Source organism: Homo sapiens, chromosome 15 (genome assembly GCF_000001405.40).
Source record: "Homo sapiens chromosome 15, GRCh38.p14 Primary Assembly".
Lineage (NCBI taxonomy): Eukaryota > Metazoa > Chordata > Mammalia > Primates > Hominidae > Homo > Homo sapiens.
Window position 1 is genome coordinate 39,260,083 of NC_000015.10, and position 22,450 is coordinate 39,282,532.

General features: G+C 39.7%; 1 long non-coding RNA gene across 1 annotated transcript in view, besides 2 other annotated features; it reads right to left on the reverse strand.

The window, feature by feature from the left end:
- LOC105370777 (uncharacterized) overlaps positions 1–22,450 on the reverse strand; it is a 556,255-nt gene that overhangs the window by 395,277 nt on the left and 138,528 nt on the right. The gene's annotated exons all lie outside the window — the stretch shown is intronic.
- Positions 14,784–15,285: an enhancer, noted in NCBI's record as "H3K4me1 hESC enhancer chr15:39567067-39567568 (GRCh37/hg19 assembly coordinates)". NCBI's record gives its function as "activates a minimal SCP1, AML or CMV promoter by ChIP-STARR-seq in primed H9 embryonic stem cells {active_cell/tissue: H9 hESC(primed)}" and the evidence as "EXISTENCE:reporter gene assay evidence [ECO:0000049][PMID:30033119]".
- Positions 15,286–15,785: an enhancer, noted in NCBI's record as "H3K4me1 hESC enhancer chr15:39567569-39568068 (GRCh37/hg19 assembly coordinates)". NCBI's record gives its function as "activates a minimal SCP1, AML or CMV promoter by ChIP-STARR-seq in primed H9 embryonic stem cells {active_cell/tissue: H9 hESC(primed)}" and the evidence as "EXISTENCE:reporter gene assay evidence [ECO:0000049][PMID:30033119]".

The window sequence follows — 22,450 nt, forward strand, 5'->3', positions numbered from 1 at the left end:
TGGTGGGCCCTACTAGTTTCTGGAAGGTGGAGGAGAGCTGTCCTTAGAATTCTGGAGAACTTATCACTATCTACACCTACCTTGTTTATCTGTTTGTTCATATGTATATTGCCTGCCTCATCCACCACTAGATTGTAAACTTGAAAGTAGGGACATGTTGTCTTTTCAGCCTTGTAGTTATAGCTCCCAGAACAGTGATTGGAAAAGAGTAGATATTATAAAAGTGTTCTGAATAATTAAATGAATGAATAAATGAATCCATGCTGCTTAAAATATACCCTTCCCCTTTGTTCCACCTTCCTGTGTGGACAGGTGCAGGGATCCCTCCAATGACAAACAACTGAGCAAAGAGTTATGGAATCAGACATCAAAAACAAACATAAAAGAATGACATATCTTCCAAGGAACAGGATTCTTGAGAAACATGTCTCTCCTATCCAAAGGGTGCAATTAGGAAATTTCCATGATTATGAAAAGAAATTTACTGGCCATTCTTTAAACTCAAAATGGCTAATGCCTGGTGTGTGCATGTGTGCGTGCCTGTGTGTGTGTGTGTGTTTATGGGAAGCAGTTGGGGAAAAGCATTTAAATTGGCTCTTAGAGATGCTTTTTGTGACAAGAATGTAAGATAATTATAAACCAAATTTTTCCCCATAATAAATGAGTTATAGTCAATAGTAGACAAGCAAATACCTATTGACTAGGAATTATATGCTGAATAATGTATTCAGCTGCTAAGGCTATTGTTATAAAATATCACACACTGGGTAGCTTAAACAACTTAAATTTATTTTTTCACAGTTCTGGATGCTAGAAGTCCAAGATCAAGGTACTGGAAAATTTGGTGTCTATATTGAGGCTGACAGACACCTGCCTCCTCTCTGTGTCCTCACATGAACTTTTCTCTTTGTATGCAGAGACAGAGAGAGAGAGAGAGAGAGAGAGAAGGAGAGGAGAGAAGAAGGGGGAGGGGAGAGAGAGAGAGACAGTTTACTGGTGCCCCTTCCTCTTCTTATAAAGACATCATTCCTATCATATTAAGCCCTACTCTTATAACCTCATTTAACCTTAATCACCTTCTTAAAGCTGCTGTCTGTATATACAGTCACAATGGGGGTTAGGGTCCCAAATATGAATGGGAGAGGGCACAATCCAGTTCACAATAGATGATAAAGGAGAGAATATAAATGAGACACTGATTTTCTCAAAAATGTTTCAATCTAGAGGTGGGTTGGGGAGTGGAAACCAATGCTGCCCTTGCAGAACTTTAACACCTGACCTGATAGGAGTTCCAAGAGAGATGTGAAAAACAATTGCCCTGAGACTGCCAAAGGAAAACTAATGAATTTGATTTAAAATTATTGAGAAAGGCTATGTAAAGGAAATATTAGAAAATCCCACAAATATGAGACTCCATAATAGCTTTCTTCTGAGGCAGATTTCAAAAATAGCAATCTGGAAGAATTTAACAATAGGGGAATGGAATGAAACCTCTGAAAGAAAACAAGATAAGATCTATGAAAAACAAAGCTTTAAAATACTAGAAAAAAATCCCTCTTTGAGAGAACTCAATAATTGGATATATGTGAAGGTAGCTGCTTTCTGATTTATTATAAATGTCTGGTTCACAGACCGCAGCAGCAAGGTCTTATCCACAAAGAAATAAGTCTAAACAAAAATTGACAGTATGTATCTCAAAATAATAAGAGCTATTTACGACAAACCCACAGCGAATATCACACTGAATGGGCAAAAACTGGAAGCATTCCCATGGAAAACCAGCACAAGACAAGGATACCCTCTCTCACCACTCCTATTCAACAGAGTGTTGGAAGTTCTGGCCAGGATAATCAGGCAAGAGAAAGAAATAAAGGGTATTCAGTTAGGAAAAGAGGAAGTCAAATTGTGCCTGTTTGCAAATGACATGATTATACATTTGGAAAACCCCATCGTCTCAGTCCAAAATCTCCTTAAGCTGATAAGCAACTTCAGCAAAGTCTCAGGATACAAAATCAATGTGCAAAAATCACAAGCATTCTTATACACCAATAACAGACAGAGAGCCAAATCATGAGTGAACTCCCACTCACAACTGCTACAAAGAGAATAAAATACCTAGGAATCCAAGTTACAAGGGATGTGAAGGACATCTTCAAGGAGAACTACAAACCACTGCTCAACGAAATAAAAGAGGACACAAACAAATGGAAGAACATTCCATGCTCTTGGATAGAAAGAATCAATGTTGTGAAAATGGCCATACTGCCCAAGGTAATTCATAGATTCAGTGCCATCCCCATCAAGCTAGCAATGACTTTCTTCACAGAATTAGAAGAAACTACTTTAAAGTTCATATGGAACCAATAAACAGCCTGCATTGCCAAGACAATCCTAAGCAAAAATAACAAAGCTGGAGGCTTCATGTTACCTGACTTCAAACTATACTACAAGGATACAGTAACCAAAACAAACAGCATGGTACTGGTACCAAAACAGATATATAGACCAATGGAACAGAACAGAGGCCTCAGAAATAACACCACACAACTACAACCATGTGATCTTTGACAAACCTCCCAAAAACAAGCAATAGGGAAAGGATTCCCTATTTAATAAATGATGCTGGGAAAACTGGCTAGCCATATGTAGAAAGCTGAAACTGCATCCCTTCCTTATACCTTATACAAAAATTAATTCAAGATGGATTAAAGACTTAAATGTTAGACCTAAAACCATAAAAACCTTAGAAGACAACCTAGGCAATACCATTCAGGACATAGGCATGGGCAAGGACTTCATGTCTAAAACACCAAAAGCAATGCAACAAAAGCCAAAATTGACAAATGGGATCTAATTAAACTAAAGACCTTCTGCACGGCAAAAGAAACTATCATCAGAATGAACAGGCAACCTACAGAATGGGAGAACATTTTTGCAAACTACCCATCTGACAAAGGGCTAATATCCAGAATCTACAAAGAACTTAAACAGATTTACAACCCCATCAAAAAGTGGGCAAAGGATATGACAGACATTTCTCAAAAGAAGACATTTATGCAGCCAACAGACACATGAAAAAATGCTCATCATCACTGTCATCAGAGAAATGCAAATCAAAACCACAATGAGATACCATCTCGTGCCAGTTAGAATGGCGATCATTAGTCAGGAAACCACAGATGCTGGAGAGGATGTGGAGAAATAGGAACGCTTTTACACTGTTGGTGGGAGTGTAAATCAGTTCAACCATTGTGGAAGACAGTGTGGTGATTTCTCAAGGATCCAGAACTAGAAATACCATTTGACCCAGCCATCCCATTACTGGGTATATACCTAAAGGATTTTAAATCATGCTGCTATAAAGACACATGCACACGTATGTTTACTGCAGCAGTATTCACAATAGCAAAGAAATGGAACCAACCCAAATACCCATCAATGACAGAATGGATTAAGAAAATGTGGCACATATACACCATGGAATACTATGCAGCCATAAAAAAGGATGAGTTGGTGTCCTTTGCAGGGACATAGATGAAGCTGGAAACCATCATTCTTGGCAAACTATCACAAGGACAGAAAACCACACACCTCATGTTCTCACTCATTGGTGGGAATTTAAAAAATGAGAACACTTGGACACAGGGCGGGGAACATCACACACTGGGACCTGTCGGGAGTTGGGGGACTTGGGGAGGGATAGCATCAGGACAAATACCTAATGTAAATGACAAGTTGATGGGTGCAGCAAACCAACATGGCACATGTATACCTATGTAACAAACCTGAACGTTGTGCACATGTACCCTAGAATTTAAGTATATATATATATGTATATATACATATATACATATATACACACACACACATACACACACATGTGTGTGTATATATATACATATGTGTGTGTGTATATATACATATATGTATGTGTATATATATACATATATAATTGACAAAATATCTACATATCTATGTCTATACTCACATATTTACCAACGTGCAAGCATTTTAGAAGTCCCTTGATTCTAATTTATTAATCTGAACAAGTGGACATTTTTTAATAGGTGAATAACTTCTACTGATAAAACCACATTCATCTATGATTAAAGAACAAAAAGCCCCTTTTCCTAGTTTATGTTTTCTTATGTGGAGGGATATAAACTCCTGTTAATAATGTGCTGCTACAGAGAGCCTTCTTTCTAGGATATCTAAGACCTGGGATTTCTCTAATCATGGGTGTTCCTACCTAGGCTTGACCTGCATTTAGGGAAACAAACTGGCAGTTTTATGTTAACAAATATAATGTCAATCTGTCTGTCTTCAAATATATTTTTAGCTAATCAGCAGGACTTCCGCAGGACATATCACTTTCAAAAGAATGGCCTGCATCTGATTCCAATTTGAAATCTTGTATTTTCCTGTGAAATCACTCCAGCAGTATCCTTCAAAGCCCATTTCCTACCATGTTGCCATTCCCTGTTTGCCTGTGACCCCTCTACTAGACTGCAACCTCTTCGATGACAGCCCTTGCCTTGTCCACTGCCATATCCCTGGCACCTCGCATAGGCAGTCTCCCCTTGAAGGTTTTCAGCCTAGGTCATGAGTGTTCCTAACAGCCATTTTCCAAAGTTATTCATGCTTTTGTCTGGAAAACTTTCCAGTCTAGCACCTGGACTGGAAACCTTCACATAAAAAGTATGTTCTTATGCAAAAAAAAAGCAAGTTGATTATAATATTTTAAATTGAATGCATCTGTTAACTAAATGGTAACAATAGACAAATAGACAACTGAATGCATCTCTTATAATTTGGTATGGCTTAGCAACTAAAGCTTCTGCCAATGAAACGTACGCATAACAGTGAATGCAACTTCCAAGAAGTTCCTTAAAAAGAGGAGTTGCTTTACCAACCCACCTGCCTCCTTCCAGCTAGCTGGAATGTGGATCTGATGGCTGGAGTTCCTGTAGCCATTTTGGATGATGAAGTTCTTTGAGTAAGAAAGCCATGTCCAGTGAAACAACAAGACAGAAGAACCCTGGATCCCTGATGCAAAGAATCACTGACTACCTTTCCCACCTCCAATTCAGACTCCTTTCATGTGAGAAAAGAACTGCTCTCTTGTGTAAATGGCATTATTTTGCTTTATTTTGACAATCATGGCCAAATCTAATCCGTAATCTTAGCGTCTGAGAGAGCAGTTTATCAGTCCAGCATCTCTCAGGAGATATTAGATAATTTATAATGGTTTCATAAGGGCCTTTGGGGAGGAATTTATTTTAGTGCTATGCAAAATGTCATTCATGGACCAGTGACAATCCACAAGCTATTTGTTGTGGGTCTGTGACAAGATAATTATGAAATTTGACAGTAAGCGTTTAGATGCTTTTATAGCAATTTCACACTTATCGCTGAAACAGCGTGAGTTGTCACCCTTTCCTAGTGAGTCACATGTAATGCAAGCTGCCTACTAGTCATGTACAATAGGATTGCATGAAGTGTGACTTTTAAGGATACTTTTGTCAGCTGTTACCCAAAAGTGTTTAAAAATCAGAAAAAGTATAAATGTATATGAGATATGTAACTTTTTGCTTACACTAATTTTAATTTTAATCAAGTCTGTCTGAAATCTACTTTTATTGTCATTAGCTATATTAGAGAACTGAAATTCATATTATTAATGGTAATCCCAACTTACAGATAGAAAACAAGCTTCACTAAACTATTTTGTTAAGAAAAGACCGGCCTATACTGATTGTTCTTGTTAATTAAACGATAACAATAGACAAGATTCTAAAAAAATGGAAACTATGAAGCTGTACTAGTTTTACTTAGGTACTAAAAGCCCCACAAAGAACTCACTCTAGGCTGAATCCCTTCAAGCTATAAGGGTGTCCAGTCAATCCCAGCATAGCGTAGCAATGTTATCATTATCTAGTGGTGCTTCCATTTAAAGAAATGTTTCATTCACTGGAGGGATGGGGAGGTCTGGGGTGGTGGGTGGGGGTATGATTTGCATTCATTGTGGGGCTCTTAGTACCTAAGAAGTATGATCTTTCATGCACTGAATGCAGTTTTGTAGCCATATTTGGTACTTACGTGCTAAAATAACAGTGTGTTATTTGAAGAGATGCATTTACTAATGAATCAATGAAAACATTAAAACCTAAGGCATGTTGACCTCCAAATTATAAAAGTAATTCAAAACCAAAAGAATCATTTAGAAAATAAAGAGTATTGCATTAAAACGCCACCAGAAACAAATGTGCTTAGTGGGCTTCCTACAAAAGAACACTTTGAATTGCTAAATCTAAAGACCCACATACATTTGTTGAAATATTAATAAAGGACTGAATCAAAGATGCTGGATTGGAAACACTAAAAGAATCTCACGAGGCAAGGTAGCACAACTGCCATTTTCCAGTGACACCATAGCACAATGTTATGCAGGCCAATAATAACAAGCAAATAGTTTTTAAAAATACAGCTAACAATGTAATTTTCATGGCAACTAGACAGGTGCATAAGTATTGCTAAAATGTCAATCCCTTTAACATATGTGCAAACTGAACATGACAGTAACATAAAGAATTTGTTTTCTAAGTTTCATTTCCAACAACACAACCAGGTCTAAATTACATAGAACCATGATGGAATAATCAACGAATGTGACCTAGAGTTTAAATTTTGGGATTATGTTCAGATGGCATAGCTACAATAGCAGAAAAGCATTCTGGAATTGCTACACCACAATATAAATCAATGAATTGCTTCCTTATCAAGAAAGTCTTGTTACAAAACAAAAATGTTAGCAGGACTAAAAGGTGTATTTAGTGCAATTGTAAATTACCTACAAGCTAATGCACTAAATTTGATATTACTCTTTTTATTTGTAATGATATGGAAGCTGCTTATACACAACTACTGGGATATGAGTTATCAAGGAGAAAGGTTTTATCAGTAATATATGAACTATTCAACAACCCTATTGTGTTCCAGACAAGATAAGAAACAAGCCCCAACATTCCAAAGATATGAATTAGACAGTCTGTCATGCTTATTTCTTTGGTAACGTTGATCTTTTTTAAAGATCTTAATACTTCCATGCAAATAAAGAATGTGACATGTTTTCAATGGCAGATAAGATTAAAGTGCAAAAAGCTAGAAGCCTGGACAAACAGAGTTTCTAAAGAGTGCTGAAAGTCCCGTAAGTTAATAATAAATAATAATGAAGTAGGTGATGATCTTGAAATTATATACCTGCCAGGATATTTCCCTATACCTTAGAAATTTTGTAAACAGTTTTAAATTTAACTTTCCATTATAAGAATATTTTACATCTGCCAGGATATTGCCCTATATCTTAGAAATTCTGTAGAAAGTTTTAAATGCAACTTTCCATCATAAGAATATTTTACATCTGCCAGGATATTGCCCTATACCTTAGAAATTTTGTAGAAAGTTTTAAATTTAACTTTTCATCATAAGAATATTTTACAAATAGGAAATTCATAAATCCAAAATCCCTTTCTTTCATTAAAAGTAAAGTTAATTTTAACTTTAAAGGATAAATTGTTCAAATATGCTACTGGTGAAGGATCAAAGGTGAGTTTTGCAAATACTGAATCACTTGCTTCATTTCTACAAAAAGTTAAAAATGAATATCCTGAGTTTACTGAAGTTACTTTGGTATTTATTCTCTTTCATATCAAGGTAACTCTGTGAGACTGTACTCAAGCTACTCTAAATGTTACTGAACGAAACAGAAACAGGAAATGAGTGGTGTCATTGCCACTCCAGCTATGCTACAACAACCGACAAGCGAGAAGCATGCTTATACATTGCATTGGTTCAACCATTGTGGTAGACAGTGTGGCGATTCCTCGAAGATCTAGAACTAGAAATACCATTTGACCCAACCATCCCATTACTGGGTATATACCCAAAGGATTATAAATCATACTGCTATAAAGACACATGCACACGTATGTTTATTGCGCCACTATTCACAATAGCAAAGACTTGGAACCAACCCAAATGTCCATCAGTGATAGACTGGATTAAGAAAATGTGGCACATATACACCATGGAATACTATGCAGTCATAAAAAATGATGAGTTCACGTGCTTTGTAGGGACATGGATGAAGCTGGAAACCATCATTCTCAGCAAACTATCGCAAGGACAAAAAACCAAACGCCGCATGTTCTCACTCATAGGTGGGAAATGAACAACGAGAACACCTGGACACAGGAAGGGGAACATGACACACCGGGGCCTGTCACTGGGTGAGGGGAAGGGGGAGGGATAGCATTAGGAGATATACCTAATGCCAATGACGAGTTAATGGGTACAGCACACCAACATGGCACATGTATACATAGGTAACAAACCTGCACATTGTGCACATGTACCCTAGAACTTAAAGTATAATTTTAAAAAAAGAACCTTAAATATTGATATACATTGTGTTCATTAAAAGTATGTCTATGGGTATTTAACATGATATATTCCTATTTTACTCATAGTTTCCTTAGTTTATAATTGCAGAGAGAAAAAGGGCTATTAGTACGAAAGTGATCCTCTATAGTTACATTATATTTGTATACATCAAATGCACCATGTTTTTAAATATTTTCTTTTTCCTATGCTTATTCTGATCATGTTTGTTAAAATGAATTTTGTGTCTATAAAATCTAATAATAAAATCTGCCTTCTATGTCATATGTCTTCTATCCCTTTTTTGTAGGAATTAGTGCATATTGCATTTTACAAAAGCACAGATCTGGGATGGATTGGAAAGCAACTAACAAACTGCTCCTTCTCCACAGATGATCTGAGAAGCACATACATTATTTATCTGCCTTTAGATCATTTCTAAGCTATCCTAAAATCAGGATTCTACTTTTCCCAAATTACCCCTGCCCCACCCTACCTTGACTCCTTGCCTACCTGAGGAACATCATCCATCAAATCAAGATGAAGTAAATGCAGGCTGTTCTTGTGACTCTTCAAGGTCAAAGAGCCAAATGCTCACAGAGGCTGGGCTGGGAGAGCACATGGGTGCAGGAACAAGCAGCGTGCAGGGGTACCTCTGTTTCAGATCAACTGGCCCAAGCAGGAGCATGGCCTGGGTTGCCAGATCCCTCACAGTTTTTCAAGAGAAACCAGAAACCCAGATTTTTACAGGGAACTACAGTCATTTAAAAATGTGAAGAAGTAATTCAGATTTTTACAAGCCACAAGGCCAGCTAAAGAAAATGCCTGTGTGGGCTAAAATTGGCCCAGGAATCCCACCTGGGGACTGCTGGGGCTCCACATGCTACTGATAGAAAAAGTGAGATCAGCAAATGCAAAGGATTTCTTTCAAGCACAGCCTGCAGGTGGATTTTGGCAGTTTCCTATCAGCGTTTTTCCATCTATGGAAAACAGCTGCTGGTGTGAGCCAATGCTTCAGGAGCACTCCTCCTGCCTCTGTCTAGCCTGAGGCAACCCCACAATCAGTCTCAGATACCAACATGAGCATGAAACATACTCCACAAAGGAGCTGTTCAACAAGGGGTCCCATGATTTCAGGGCCACTAGTCCAGAAAAGGATATTCAGTCACGGTGCAAAAGAAGAGGGTATATGAGGACCTCTTTGAAGGGAGCTGAGAGTGAGTATCCTGATCCCACCAGCAGGAAGGAGGTGAGGTGCCACCCTTTCCTTCAATCCTAGTTGGGAGAGGGATTTCCCATGGGAAACATTAGAAAATTTCATATATGTTTCTTCCGCTGGGGGCTGTGGAGGACTGGTGCTTGGTTCACACATGAGACAGCTGAGCTGCCTGATAGATTTGGCCATGCTGAGATTAGCCTGTACTCCCAGTTGGGCAGGGCAAGGGATGCACCAGTGTTTCCTGCTAGTGTGCCCATCATCATTCTCAGAAACAGGAGGAGACCAATGTACATTCATTGTCCAGGAGGAGCATGTGACTTTGCCGCCTGATGTTTACGAAAGAGTTTACAGTGCTGTATAAGTGCTGAATGGCATTGTTCTTCCACAGGGCTTTCATGGACAAAATGAAAGATAAGAATTCCCTCTCTGCCTTCGAGGGCCCTTCCCAGCCCCTTCTTCTTTTGTCTGTCTCATCCACAAACTAAAAAGTATCTGCCCTGAGATCCTGAGATGGCCTTTCCCTTTAAGCCTCATTATTATTCACCTTCTATGGAAAGAACTCACTTTAGGCTGAATCCCCTACAAGCTATGAGAGTGTCCAGTCAAACCCAGCACAGTGTAGCATTGATATCATTATCTAGTGGTGGTTTCATTTAAAGAAATGTTTCATTCACTGGAGAGATGGGGAGGTCTGGGGTGGTGGGTGGGGGTATGATTTGCATTCACTGTGGGGCTCTTAGTACCTAAAACAAGTGGCTTGTGTTTCTGTGCTGGACTCTGCTTTTTCTCCCCACCCCACCCAGTAGCTCCCAATTCTCTATCCACAAGATCTTTAAAACCCAATGCAAGTCAAACAATAGAACCCTCAATTTAGAAACTGTAACTCTGGATTCAGGGAGCTAAGCCAACATTCAAACCCTCCCTGACTTTTCACAGCACTTACTGCTTCTGTCATGGGTTTGGCACTTGATTATATTCAATTTAGCACATAATTATATCCCTACTCTCTCATGTTTTTCTTTCATTGCTTGTAAGTGTTCAGTTTATTTGTCCCAATCATACAGTAAGCCCCTGGACAGCAGAGACCACTTTTCACCCTTCACCAGAGATCCATATACTTAGCAGTGTTGGGCCCAGAGCAGATAGGCAATAAACACCAGCTGAGCTGAACAGAGTGGAACAAGCCACCAGCTCCACCTTCCAACTTGCCATTGATGGGGAGAAAAGGCAAAACCACCTGAGCATTCAGCTTGCCGCTGCCTTTCCCTGCTGGAAAGTCATAAGCTTCTTCCCCGGGCTTCTTATGGGAAAGGCATGATCTTCTTGAGACTTCAGCGTAGGCACATCCTCGGGGAGCACTTTCTAATGGGAAGTGTGAGTCTGGGTGGATAGTGCCCATGACTCATTGTAAAGTCTATGTGGGAGCCTGGGCGGCTATAGTCTCATATGAAAAGTATTTCTGCTCTATCCTGCTCCTTCCCACGCTCAACCTTCCTGAGCCACCCTGTTGCCATAAGCATCTGTACAGTGCCGCAAGCCTCACTACTAAGTGTCATCCTTGGACCATCAGCATCACCAGAGGGCCTATTAGAAAGGCAGGATGTTGGGTGACATCTCAGTCCTAATGAGTTAAGACCTTTTTAACAAGACCTCCAGGTGTGTCCTATGCATGGTAAAATTTGAGAAGCCCTTCCCTGAAGAGGACCTTGTCAGGCATTCTCCCTGAGGAGACAGGTTTTTTGAGCTGTCTCCAGAATAATCTGGAGAGCTGTCCTGGATATAAATGATGCTTTCTTCCTCGGGGGGAGGAGAAGCTCCACAAAGGAGCAACAACACAAATTGTCTCCAACCCACAGATAGGCACAGAGCTCAAAAGAAATTAAGTCAAGCCAAATGGCAAGCAAGATGCTGTTAGTATGAGTGGTAATAGATAGCTCCCTATGTCCTGTTCTGTCATTCTGTCTGTTGCTGTACATGCTCCAGGACATCCTGCCCTTAGCAAAACATGCTGGAATGGGTTTACAGTGGGTCCGAGGACATATTCTAGTGAAAGACCAAAGCCTTGCCAGTCCTCTAGGCACAGTCGTTATCTCCCTGGACAAATGTGTACAAGTCACTATAGTGGGTCCACTTTCCCAGCATGAGCTCTGAACCTCAGGTTTGGTCCAAGCTATTGCAGTCTACTACTATGCAGTTAGTTCTTCCCGTCCCTCCACCCAGGCACAGTCTGTTCAGGTTTCAAGGCCCAATTCAAATCCTGCTTCCTCCACAGCATCTTCCTGGTCATTCCAAATACACTGGGGACATCCTCCAAGACACTGGTGTTTAATAATTTCATGGAAATTTTTTCAGCAGGCTATAAATTCCCAGAATGGGGAGACTTATGTCTGACATTATGTTCTATACCTTGTCCACTCCCCTGATTATAGAGACATAATATTCAGTATATGAGTACAAGTCCTTAAACACTCAGTTTGAACTGTCATGAGGATCTAGCAAATCTGTTTTCAGAAAGGACCTGGGGAAGCCCCTCAGCCTGGTGATCTTTCTCCTGCTTCCTGAAAACCCAGCACTCTTCATACCTATCCTATCCTGGCTTGGCTGTAGACTGAGTGGACGGTCTTTCCTCCAGAGGAACTTCTATGAGAGTCCAACAGACAACCAGATTCCAGAATCATATGGAGAAACCAGGTGACTGGGCTAAGAGGGGACCCTCAGTGTGACAATGGCAAGAGATGTTTATCCAGAGGACCAGGCCAAACAATTCCATCTAGTTATCTAGTTTTCTGTGACTCTTGGGTAGTAGTGAGCTATTATATCATGATGGGAATGACAGGAAGAACAGGGAGAAAAATAATATTAATTATAGCAGGCTGAGATTATTCTACATAGCAAACCACAGTTCTGTCCTCTACTGGAAAATTAGCTGTACTTCATGGTTGCCCCAGCTGAGGTGCTGTGGCTAAAAGAAGACTGTCTGAGAAAATGATGAAAGGCACAGTCTGACCTTTGCTCCTTGGAATGTTATTATTGTCCAAATAAACGATGCATATGTTATCAGAGCATCTTTTCTACCAGGTCAGTAGATGTTCTTCCTATGCCTATGCTATTACCCCTAAAGTGGACTAAGGTAGCAATGCATGGACCAGATCTGAGAATACAATTACTGAATACCCTTAAACACTAGTCAACCGAATATTGTAAGCAGAGGTGGAAATGACAACTGTGATTCTTCACTGTCATTACTGGCATGAAGAAGGTCCAGTCTCCTTCTCAGGACCACTGAAGTTCACAGGTCTAGGGAATACTGCTTGTACTGCAGTCTCAGGAATTCTACCCCATGGCATTTCCAGTGTGCAGCCTGCCTGTCATTTGCAGCTGCCCCAATCCTTCTATTTCCAACTGTCATTTATTCTTTCCAATGAATATAGAAACATGCCTGACAAACTTACGCACTATGAGAAAACTTAGAGCAGGGACTGAGTCTTGGAAAAAAGTTAAATGTTTTTCTTTTAAATAGATCTGAATATAATATCTTCCAGGATCACACATCCTAAAATAACTGTGATTCTTTTCTTTAAAAAGCAAACAAACAATATGCCCCTCCAATTAAAAGAAAATTCTAAAATGGAATTGCCAAAATTCTGGATGAGACATTCTTCCCTTTTACCTCTCTCATGCCGGGAAATTCTTTCTGCTTGCTAACCCCCGAATACCATCCGCGATTAGAAATAGAGGAGAACTCCATCGAGCACTGTGTTTCAGGTTCTCAACAAATATCTGGGGCTCTCAGACTGCCTGCCAGGCACCTTGCTAGGCACCAGATCCATAAAACTGGTTCTCACTTCTCTACCCATTTCTCCTTAAAAAGAAAAAAACTCAAAAGTTGGTTTGTGGAGGTTTGGGGTCCAACAACTATTTATGCAAAATATTTGCCGATTTTCACCAGCTTTCTATCCATGGCCTAAAGGAAGCTGAAACAGCTTAGAGGCTGAAGAAATGAACCACAGAGCTTGAAACAGAGGCAATCAAGTCATCTCAAACAGCGGGACTAGGAAATCTAAGTCAAGTCTGAAGAGAAAGGTAGTGAAAGACTTACCATTTTTCTTTTTCTTTTTCAAAAGAAGTCAATGGCCATTCAGTGTTTAAATGAGAACAAAGACTACAGGGGGGAAAAATTAAGGTAAATATTTGTAATAATGTGTCATTGCATTTTACATAATGGGCCAGCAGTCTTTGAAATGTGACGACATCCATATCTACAGTTTTATTTGTTTTTTCTTATTTGCTCTCCTGAGGCAAGTCTCTTTTAGGCTGTCAGCCACCAAAGCAGCTAGCAAATACAAGGACACTGAAAGGCATTCTGCCAACACGACCTCAGAAGTATTTACAGACTGCAATGGAGACCATGATATAATTCAGTTTCTGCATGGCTATACTCTTTGCCAATTAATATTCTAATGTATCCTTTGAGGATGTGGTAAATGTTGGTTTAAGATAAAACAGCAAAGACAAATATTAGTGTGCCACATAAAGGTATTACTTGCCATGAGAGCACTGTTTCTTAGTACAGACTACCTGGATTGCACAACCAGAGATTCTGGTCTCACTGGACCAGAGTGTACAGCCTGGGTACCAGGATTTTCAAATAGCCTCGTCCACCTAGTGATTCTAATAAGCAGCTATGATTGAGAAACACTGTACTCGTCAATTACCAGAATGTTTTGTATTCTATTTGGAACACAACTAAAATTTGACCTGATGAACTCGTGCAAAATATTAAAAGCTGAACCTGCAGAGGCCAGATGCAGTGGCTCATGCCTGTAATCTTACCACGTTGGGAGGCTGAGTCAGGCAGATCGCTTGAACCCAGGGGTTCAAGACCAGCCTAGGCTACATGGTGAAACTTCATCTCTATTAAAAATACAAAAATTAGCCAGGCATGGTGATATGCACCTGTAGTCCCAGCTACTCAGGAGGCTAAGGTGGGAGAATGGCTTGAACCTCCAGAGGCAAAGGTTGCAGTGAGCTATGATCGTGCCACTGTACTCCAGTTTGGGTGACAGAATGAGACCCTGTCTCAAAAACAAACAACAAACAAAAAAGGCTGAAACTGCAGAGAAATAGGGAGAGGACTATGGAAATATTATAGAAAGATAAATAGCTGAAGAAGTAATGTCACCGCCACACACCCTAACCTGATATTTGAGGAAAAGAGACGAAACACACAAGTAACAAAAACAAAAGGTGAAGCTTGGTTAGTCCAATCCTTGATGCCCAGAAAAAAATCTTACAGGAGACCAGAAGATAAGGGCCAACAAAAGCTGAACAGAAGTTCAGTGAAAATCAGTAAGGTCTTTAGGATAGTCTAGTTCTGCCTCATTTTCCTGAGGCAGCAGTGGGAAGCAGCTGGCCCTCCTGCCCCTCTCCCCAGCCCCTCCAGGCCTGCATGCTATCCTTGGGGACCCTAGGCCTCTGCTGGGATTTCCCTCTGCTGTGGGGATTTCCATGCTGGCCTAGAGGCCCGCGGCAAGTAGCCCAGTTGCTAGAGCCTGGAGGCAGGTGAGCAGGGTGGTAGAAGGTGAGGGAGTGATGTCAGAGAAGCCTCTCAACAGACAGCATCAGCTTCCTGACGCTTAGAAGACCCCTTGTTTCTTCCATCTCTTCAGAGCCAGGGCCATCAGGTGGCCCATAAACTCCTTTTTCACATGCAAGCTGAGAAGGCTGTGAGCCAGCCACATGGCAGGGGGTTGAGAGGCCATCACCCTGCGTGTTCACCGCCTCTCCTCGCTGCTGCTGGAAGGAAAGGGCTTTGCCTCCAGTTAAGGGAACATGAGGTCCTCATAAAGGTTTCAGAGAGTTGGAGCAGAGATGGAGGGGCTGATAACTTGTCTCTGTCCCTAATATCTGACAGAAACAAAGAGCAAGGAATACAACACTTACTATTTAACATTTAATTTAGGATGGCACCAATTTCCATTAAGTGAAGCATCAAGGAAAAATGCTGATATTGATAGTCTTCTAGGATCCTTAATCATTCTCATAATTTTAAAAAAATCTAAAGATTTTCTGAGCTAGATATGGTAGTAATTATAATTTTTGTAGTATATATCATGTGTATTACAAAAAGATACATATAAATATGTATAAAATATGATATATTTTCTGTAAATTCTTTATCCTAGTATTTAATTCCCATGACACAATAATTATGCATATTATTAAACCTGTTTCATCGTCGAGTCATTTGGTTAAAATAACTGTATTCGGGGATGTTTAATCCTTACAGCTCCTTGAACCAAAAGCCTGGAGGTTTAGTTACAGGTTTACAAATCACAGGGAAAACTGTTCCTAGTAGCTTTCTCATGCTATCATAGCCTTTGTCTTTTTCTGCCTCTCCTTTGTCAAAATATATCTGTCAGAGAAAGATTTCTCACCATGATAATCAGTAAATCTCCCCAAGAAATGACTGTAAAATTGGATAACATTGTCAAAAATAACAATTTTAGGCCTTTGAAAACTAAGCAAAGACAAGAAAATAAGCAAACAAACCAACTGAGAAGGATTTACCCATTAAATAAAAGACAGATAGACTTTGGGCCTCCATGGTATTCTTGCCTGGGGCTGCTCCCATCATCTCTCCAGCTCAAGGGTCTTGGTAGTTCTACCAGGGCAGGGCTGGTCATGAAAACCAGCAGCTTCACTCCTAGCAGGGCTCACTCGTGTCTAGTGGGACTGTCAGTAAAATAATAAGGCTAGTAACACACATGCCTCATAGTCTGAGGTTGCTCTCACAGATCGGGGGCATTTCAGGCTGGCAGACTAGCCAGACATTTAGCAAAGAGATCCTAGAAATGAGAGCACTGCAGAAAGCCTAGATAAGACCCCAGGCAGACGGGGATGGGATGCTACACACATGCTCATGGGACACCCAGAAGGGCCCAGTTGAAAGTAAAACCCAGGGAAGACTTGAAAACTGTCTGAACTTGGAACATGCTCCTGTTACCACATCAGCAGAAGGTGGAAGCTCTGCTGGCTTGAGGTGTTTGAGCACAACATCTGACCAGTCTTTGGGTGACCACTAAACTACAAGATGCAGGGGAATCCCGTGGGAACCCAGGCTAGTAAAATGAAAATAAGAATTAAAAAAAAAAAAGAAAAAAATAGCTGCCTGACATCAGTGGGGAAACAAGTTCTGCAGAATAAGTCTAGGCAACTTACTAAAACAGCAAGAGCAGCAGCAACAACAAAATGACAACAACCTTTGGGGGGAAAGTAAGAATCCAGAATTTTGACATCATCTATTTGCTAAAATGACTGGTTTTCAACAAAATATCATGAGATAGGCAAAGAAATAAGATGGTATGACCTATATTCAGGAAAAATATCAGTCAACAGAAACTGTCTTGGAGCAGGCCCTAATGTTGAATTTAGCACAGGAAGAAACAATCCAAAATGAAGCAAAAAAAAAAATGACTGAAGAAAATACTGAGCAGAGCACTAGAGGCCTATGAGAAAACAGCAAGCTGTCATTGGACTCTGTACTCGGTCTCAGAAGAAAGTGATAGGAAAAAAAAATCAAAAGTCTGTGGGAATAACGGCCACACATTGTAAGCACATAACAACACATTCTGAAAAGAAAGAATATCCTAAAAACAGACAAATAAACAATATGTAGAAGTACAATAATAAAAAAAAATGGCTGATTTTCAGGAAAACAGTGCAGCCTCATTTCAAAACACACACACACAAGGTCTGTCAACCTAGAGTTCTCTATATCCAGAAAAAGAACATATATCTAGTAATAATATCCTTCAAAGCAAAGATGAAATGAAGACATATTCATATCAACTAAAGCTGAGAAGAATCCTTTGCCAGTAGACCTACGTTGTGAGAAATGCTAAAAAAAAAAAAAAAAAAACAGGTTTTCATGCTGAAATCATACTAGTCTGAAACTTGATAACTTAGTTCTACAGGAAAGCTTAAAAAGTACCTGAAATGGTAAAGAAGTAGATAAATACGTAATACTATTTTTTCCTAATATCTTTGAAAAAACAGATTTAAAGTTAAAATAAAAGCCTTGTAATTAGGGGTTTGTAATCTATATAGCAGCAAATTATACGACAGTAATAGCAAAAAAGACTGGGAAGGCAAATGGTATTATACTGTTGTAAGCCTCTTACATTACACATAAAGTTCAAGACATACTATACTAAGAGATATATAGACAGTGATATAGTTTGGATCTGTGTCCCTACCCAATTCTCATGTTGAATTGTAATCCCCAATGTTGGAGGTAGGGCCTGGTGGGAGATGATTGGATCATGGAGGCAGTTTCTCATGAATAGTTTAACACCATACCCCTTGGCAATGTTCTTATGATAGTGAGTTCTCGTGAGATCTGGTTGTTTACAAGTGTGTGGCACCCCCCACCTTGGTCCTTCTCCTGCCATGTAATACACCTGCTCCTGCTTTGCCTTCTGCCATGAGTCAAAGCTCCCTGAAGCCTCCCCAGAAGCAGACACTGCCTTGCTTCCTATACACCCTGCAGAACTGGGGGCCAATTAAACCTCTTTATAAATTACCCAGGCTCAGGTATTTCTTTATAGCAGTGTGAGAACAAATTAATACAGATAAATAGTGTATTAGTCTGTTTTCACACTGCTATAAAGAAATATCCTGAGACTGGGTAATATACGAAGGAAAGAGGTTTGATTAACTCATAGTTGCACATGGCTGGAGAGACCTCAGGAAACTTACGATCATGTGAGAAGGCAAAGCAGAAGCAAGGACCTTCTTCACAGGGCGGCAGGAGAGAGAATAGTGATGAGCGAAGAAGGAAGAGCCCTTTATAAAACCATCAGATCTCGTGAGAACTCATTCACTATCATGAGAACAGCATGGGGAAACTACCCCCATGATCCAATCAACCCCCACCAGATCTCTCCCTAGACACATAGGGATTATGGGGATTACAATTCAAGATGACATTTCGGTAAGGACACAGCCAAACCATATCAGATGGATGGATGGATGGATGGATAGATACATAGATAGATAGATAGATAGATAGATAGATAGATAGATAGATAGATGGATCCCTAGGATCAACTACTGAAGAATAAAGCAAAGGGTAAAAATAAAAAGTCAAGGAACGATATAAAATAGAATACTAGGCCGAGGCGCGAGGATCACGAGGTCAGGAGATCCGGACCATCCTGGCTAACACGGTGAAACCCCGTCTCTACTAAAAATACAAAAAAAAAAAAAGTAGCCGGGCGTGATGGCAGGCGCCTATAGTCCCAGCTACTCAGGAGGCTGAGGCAGGAGAATGGCATGAACCCGGGAGGCGGAGCTTGCAGTGAGCCAAGATCGCACCACTGCACTCCAGCCTGGGCAACAGAGCAAGACTCCGTCTCAAAAAAAAAAAATAGAACACTAAAAATACATATGTTTCACAAACGATATGTATTTGGGCAATATAAAGAATTCTTGCAATTAAGTAGTTTTTAAACAAAACAAATAACCCAATAAAAATGGGCAAAAGATTTGGACAGACATTTCACAAAAGAAGATATAAGAATGCTCAACATGTGAGTAATCAGGAAAATAAAAGTTAAAGCTACAATGAGATACCACTATACACCCACTAGAATGGTTAAAATTAAAAAGCCTAAAAATGCCAAATGTTACTTACGATCTTGCAATTCCTCTCCTTGGTGTTCACCCAAAAGAAATGAAAACATATGTCCACCAAGTAACTTGTACAAGATTGTTCTTTGCAGCTTTATTCACAATAGCCAAAAACTAAAAGCAACATGATGTCCATTAAAAGGAAAATGGATAAACAAATTGTGGTATATTTATACAATGCAAAATGAGTCAACCAAAGCAGAAAAAATGAATTAACTACCGATACATGTGATAACTTGGATGAATCTCAAAGATAATACGTTGAGGGCAGAGGTGCAATGGGGAAGCCAGACACAAGAGTCCATTTATGTCAATTTCAAGAACAGGCAAAGACTGTATCAAAACATCTCATGCCCCTCATAAATACATACTATGTACCCACAAAAATTTTAGAAATTAAAAAGTTAACAATATGTAAATAAAAAGAATAGGCAAACAGGCAAAGCTAATTTGTCAGGATATCGAAACAGAGATTAACTTTTTTGGGAGGGAGTGGGGAACTGACTGGGAAAAAGCGCGAGGGAATTTTCTAGGGTGATGTAAAGTTCTGTGTAAATGTTCTGTGTAACTGGGATCATCAAAATTTGAGAAATGTGCATTTTACTATAATTACATTTAGGTAATGTAATTTAATAAACTTCAATAAAAATACGCCTCAAACCCCACATTCTTCCTTTTTTTTTCTTCATTTCATTGACTGTGACTTCCCTTCAAAGCTACTGAAGAAAGGGAGGCATAGATTCGTTACCACAAGTTCAGCTCAGCTCCCAACTCTGAACATTCTTTTCAGTTCTTGACTATGGTCATCCCCCAACTCCTGAAGTAGGAGGATTTTCCAAGCATAAAAGAATGACCAGGTTTAGATTTAGACCAGATTTTCTAGAACCTAAGAAAATAAGCATATGTACTTTGCTAAACTACCTGCCTATCTGATAACCTGATTTTAGTATCTGATGTAGAACTTGGAAGCCATAAATTTGAAAATCCCAAATTGCAAATTAACAAATTGAGCATTTATTTGAGGAACAAGTATCATGTTTATGAGCAGCACCCACAGAGTTTGGAAGAGAAGGTTTACCCACTAATAGCCATCCTAACTTACGTTTAAAAAAGTTCATAAACCTCTAGTCAGCTATAGAACATGGGATCATGGGGGCTGCACAGTGACTAAAAGGGATTTTAAAACTGTAAATATGCCCAGGCACAGTGGCTCACGCCTGTAATCCCAACACTTTGGGAGGGTGAGGCGGGTGGATCACCTGAGGTCAGGAGTTCGAGACCAGCCTCACCAACATGGTAAAACCCGTCTCTACTAAAGATACAAAAATTAGCCAGGTGTGGTGGCGTGTGCCTGTAATCTCAGCTACTTGGAAGGTTGAGGCACAAGAGTCACTTGAACCCAGGAGGCAGAGGTTGCAGTGAGCTGAGATCGTGCCATCGCAACTGCAGCCCGGGTGACAGAACGAGACTCTGTTTAAAAAAAAAAAAAAAAAAAAAAAAAAACTATATCCGAATTATTAAAAATTTAACCAATTAGTCAAAATAAACTTTGTGAAAGAATTGAGCCAATCATTGTTGCCAATGTGCTAAGGACTCAGGGATCAGGACAGATGGAACAAAAATGTGAACACATTTGTAGTCATATTTAGATAAGAAAATCATTCTTAATCCATATGATAAAAGTATCCTTTTATCTTTTCTAATTATCATTCTATAGATATTAATGTGAGAATACTCTCCAACTCCTTTAAAAAACCTGTTGCTCAAAATGTTCTTCATTTAAAGGAACTGGTAATGATAAGTGGGAAATGACACATACTACTGGTGTAGCTGGTGGAGCCATTGACATCTCACCTCTGTGGGTTGTTTAGAGATAAAATTCGTTTCTTTCATAGCAAGGAGCATTCTAAGGATTCTTGGTGAGGTGGTTTTGTTTTATTCCCTGGAATATGGAGAATAGCTGTGGCAGATATCCAGGGGTTGTTTTCTCCAGCATGTTCTAACATACTTTAACTTTTTTTTTTTTAATTATACTTTAAGTTCTAGGGTACATGTGCACAACGTGCAGGTTTGTTACATATGTATACATGTGCCATGTTGGTGTGCTGCACCCATTAACTCGTCATTTACATTAGGTATATTTCCTAATGCTATCCCTCCCAGCCCCCCTCACCCCACAACAGGCCCCGGTATGTGATGTTCCACTTCCTGCGTCCAAGTGTTCTCATTGTTCAATTCCCACCTATGCGTGAGAACATGCAGTGTTTGTTTTTTTGTCCTTGCAATAGTTTGCTGAGAATGATGGTTTCCAGCTTCATCCATGTCCCTACAAGGGACATGAACTCATCATTTTTTATGGCTCCATAGTATTCCATGGTGTATATGTGCCACGTTTTCTTAATCCAGTCTATTATTGTTGGACATTTGGGTTGGTTCCAAGTCTTTGCTATTGTGAATAGTGCTGCAATAAACATACGTGTGCATGTGTCTTTATAGTACTATGATTTACAATCCTTTGGGTATATACCCAGTAATGGGATGGCTGGGTCAAATGGTATTTCTAGTTCTAGATCTCTGAGGAATCCCCACACTGTCCTCCACAATGGTTGAACTAGTTTACAGTCCCACCAACAGTGCAAAAGTGTTCCTATTTCTCCACATCTTCTCCAGAACCTGTTGTTTCCTGACTTTTTAACGATCACCATTCTAACTGGTGTGAGATGGTATCATGCTACCTGACTTCAAACTATACTACAAGGCTACAGTAACCAAAACAGCATGGTACAGGTACCAAAACAGAGATTCAGACCAATGGAACAGAACAGAGCCTTCAGAAATAATACCACACATCTACAACTATCTGATCTCTGACAAACCTGACAAAAACAAGAAATGGGGAAAGGATTCCCTATTTAACAAATGGGGGTGGGAAAACTGGCTAGCCATATGTAGAAAGCTGAAACTGGATCCCTTCCTTACACCTTATACAAAAATTAATTCAAGATGGATTAAGGACTTAAATGTTAGACCTAAAACCACAAAAACCCTAGAAGAAAACCTACGCAATACCATTCAGGACATAGGCATGGGCAAGGACTT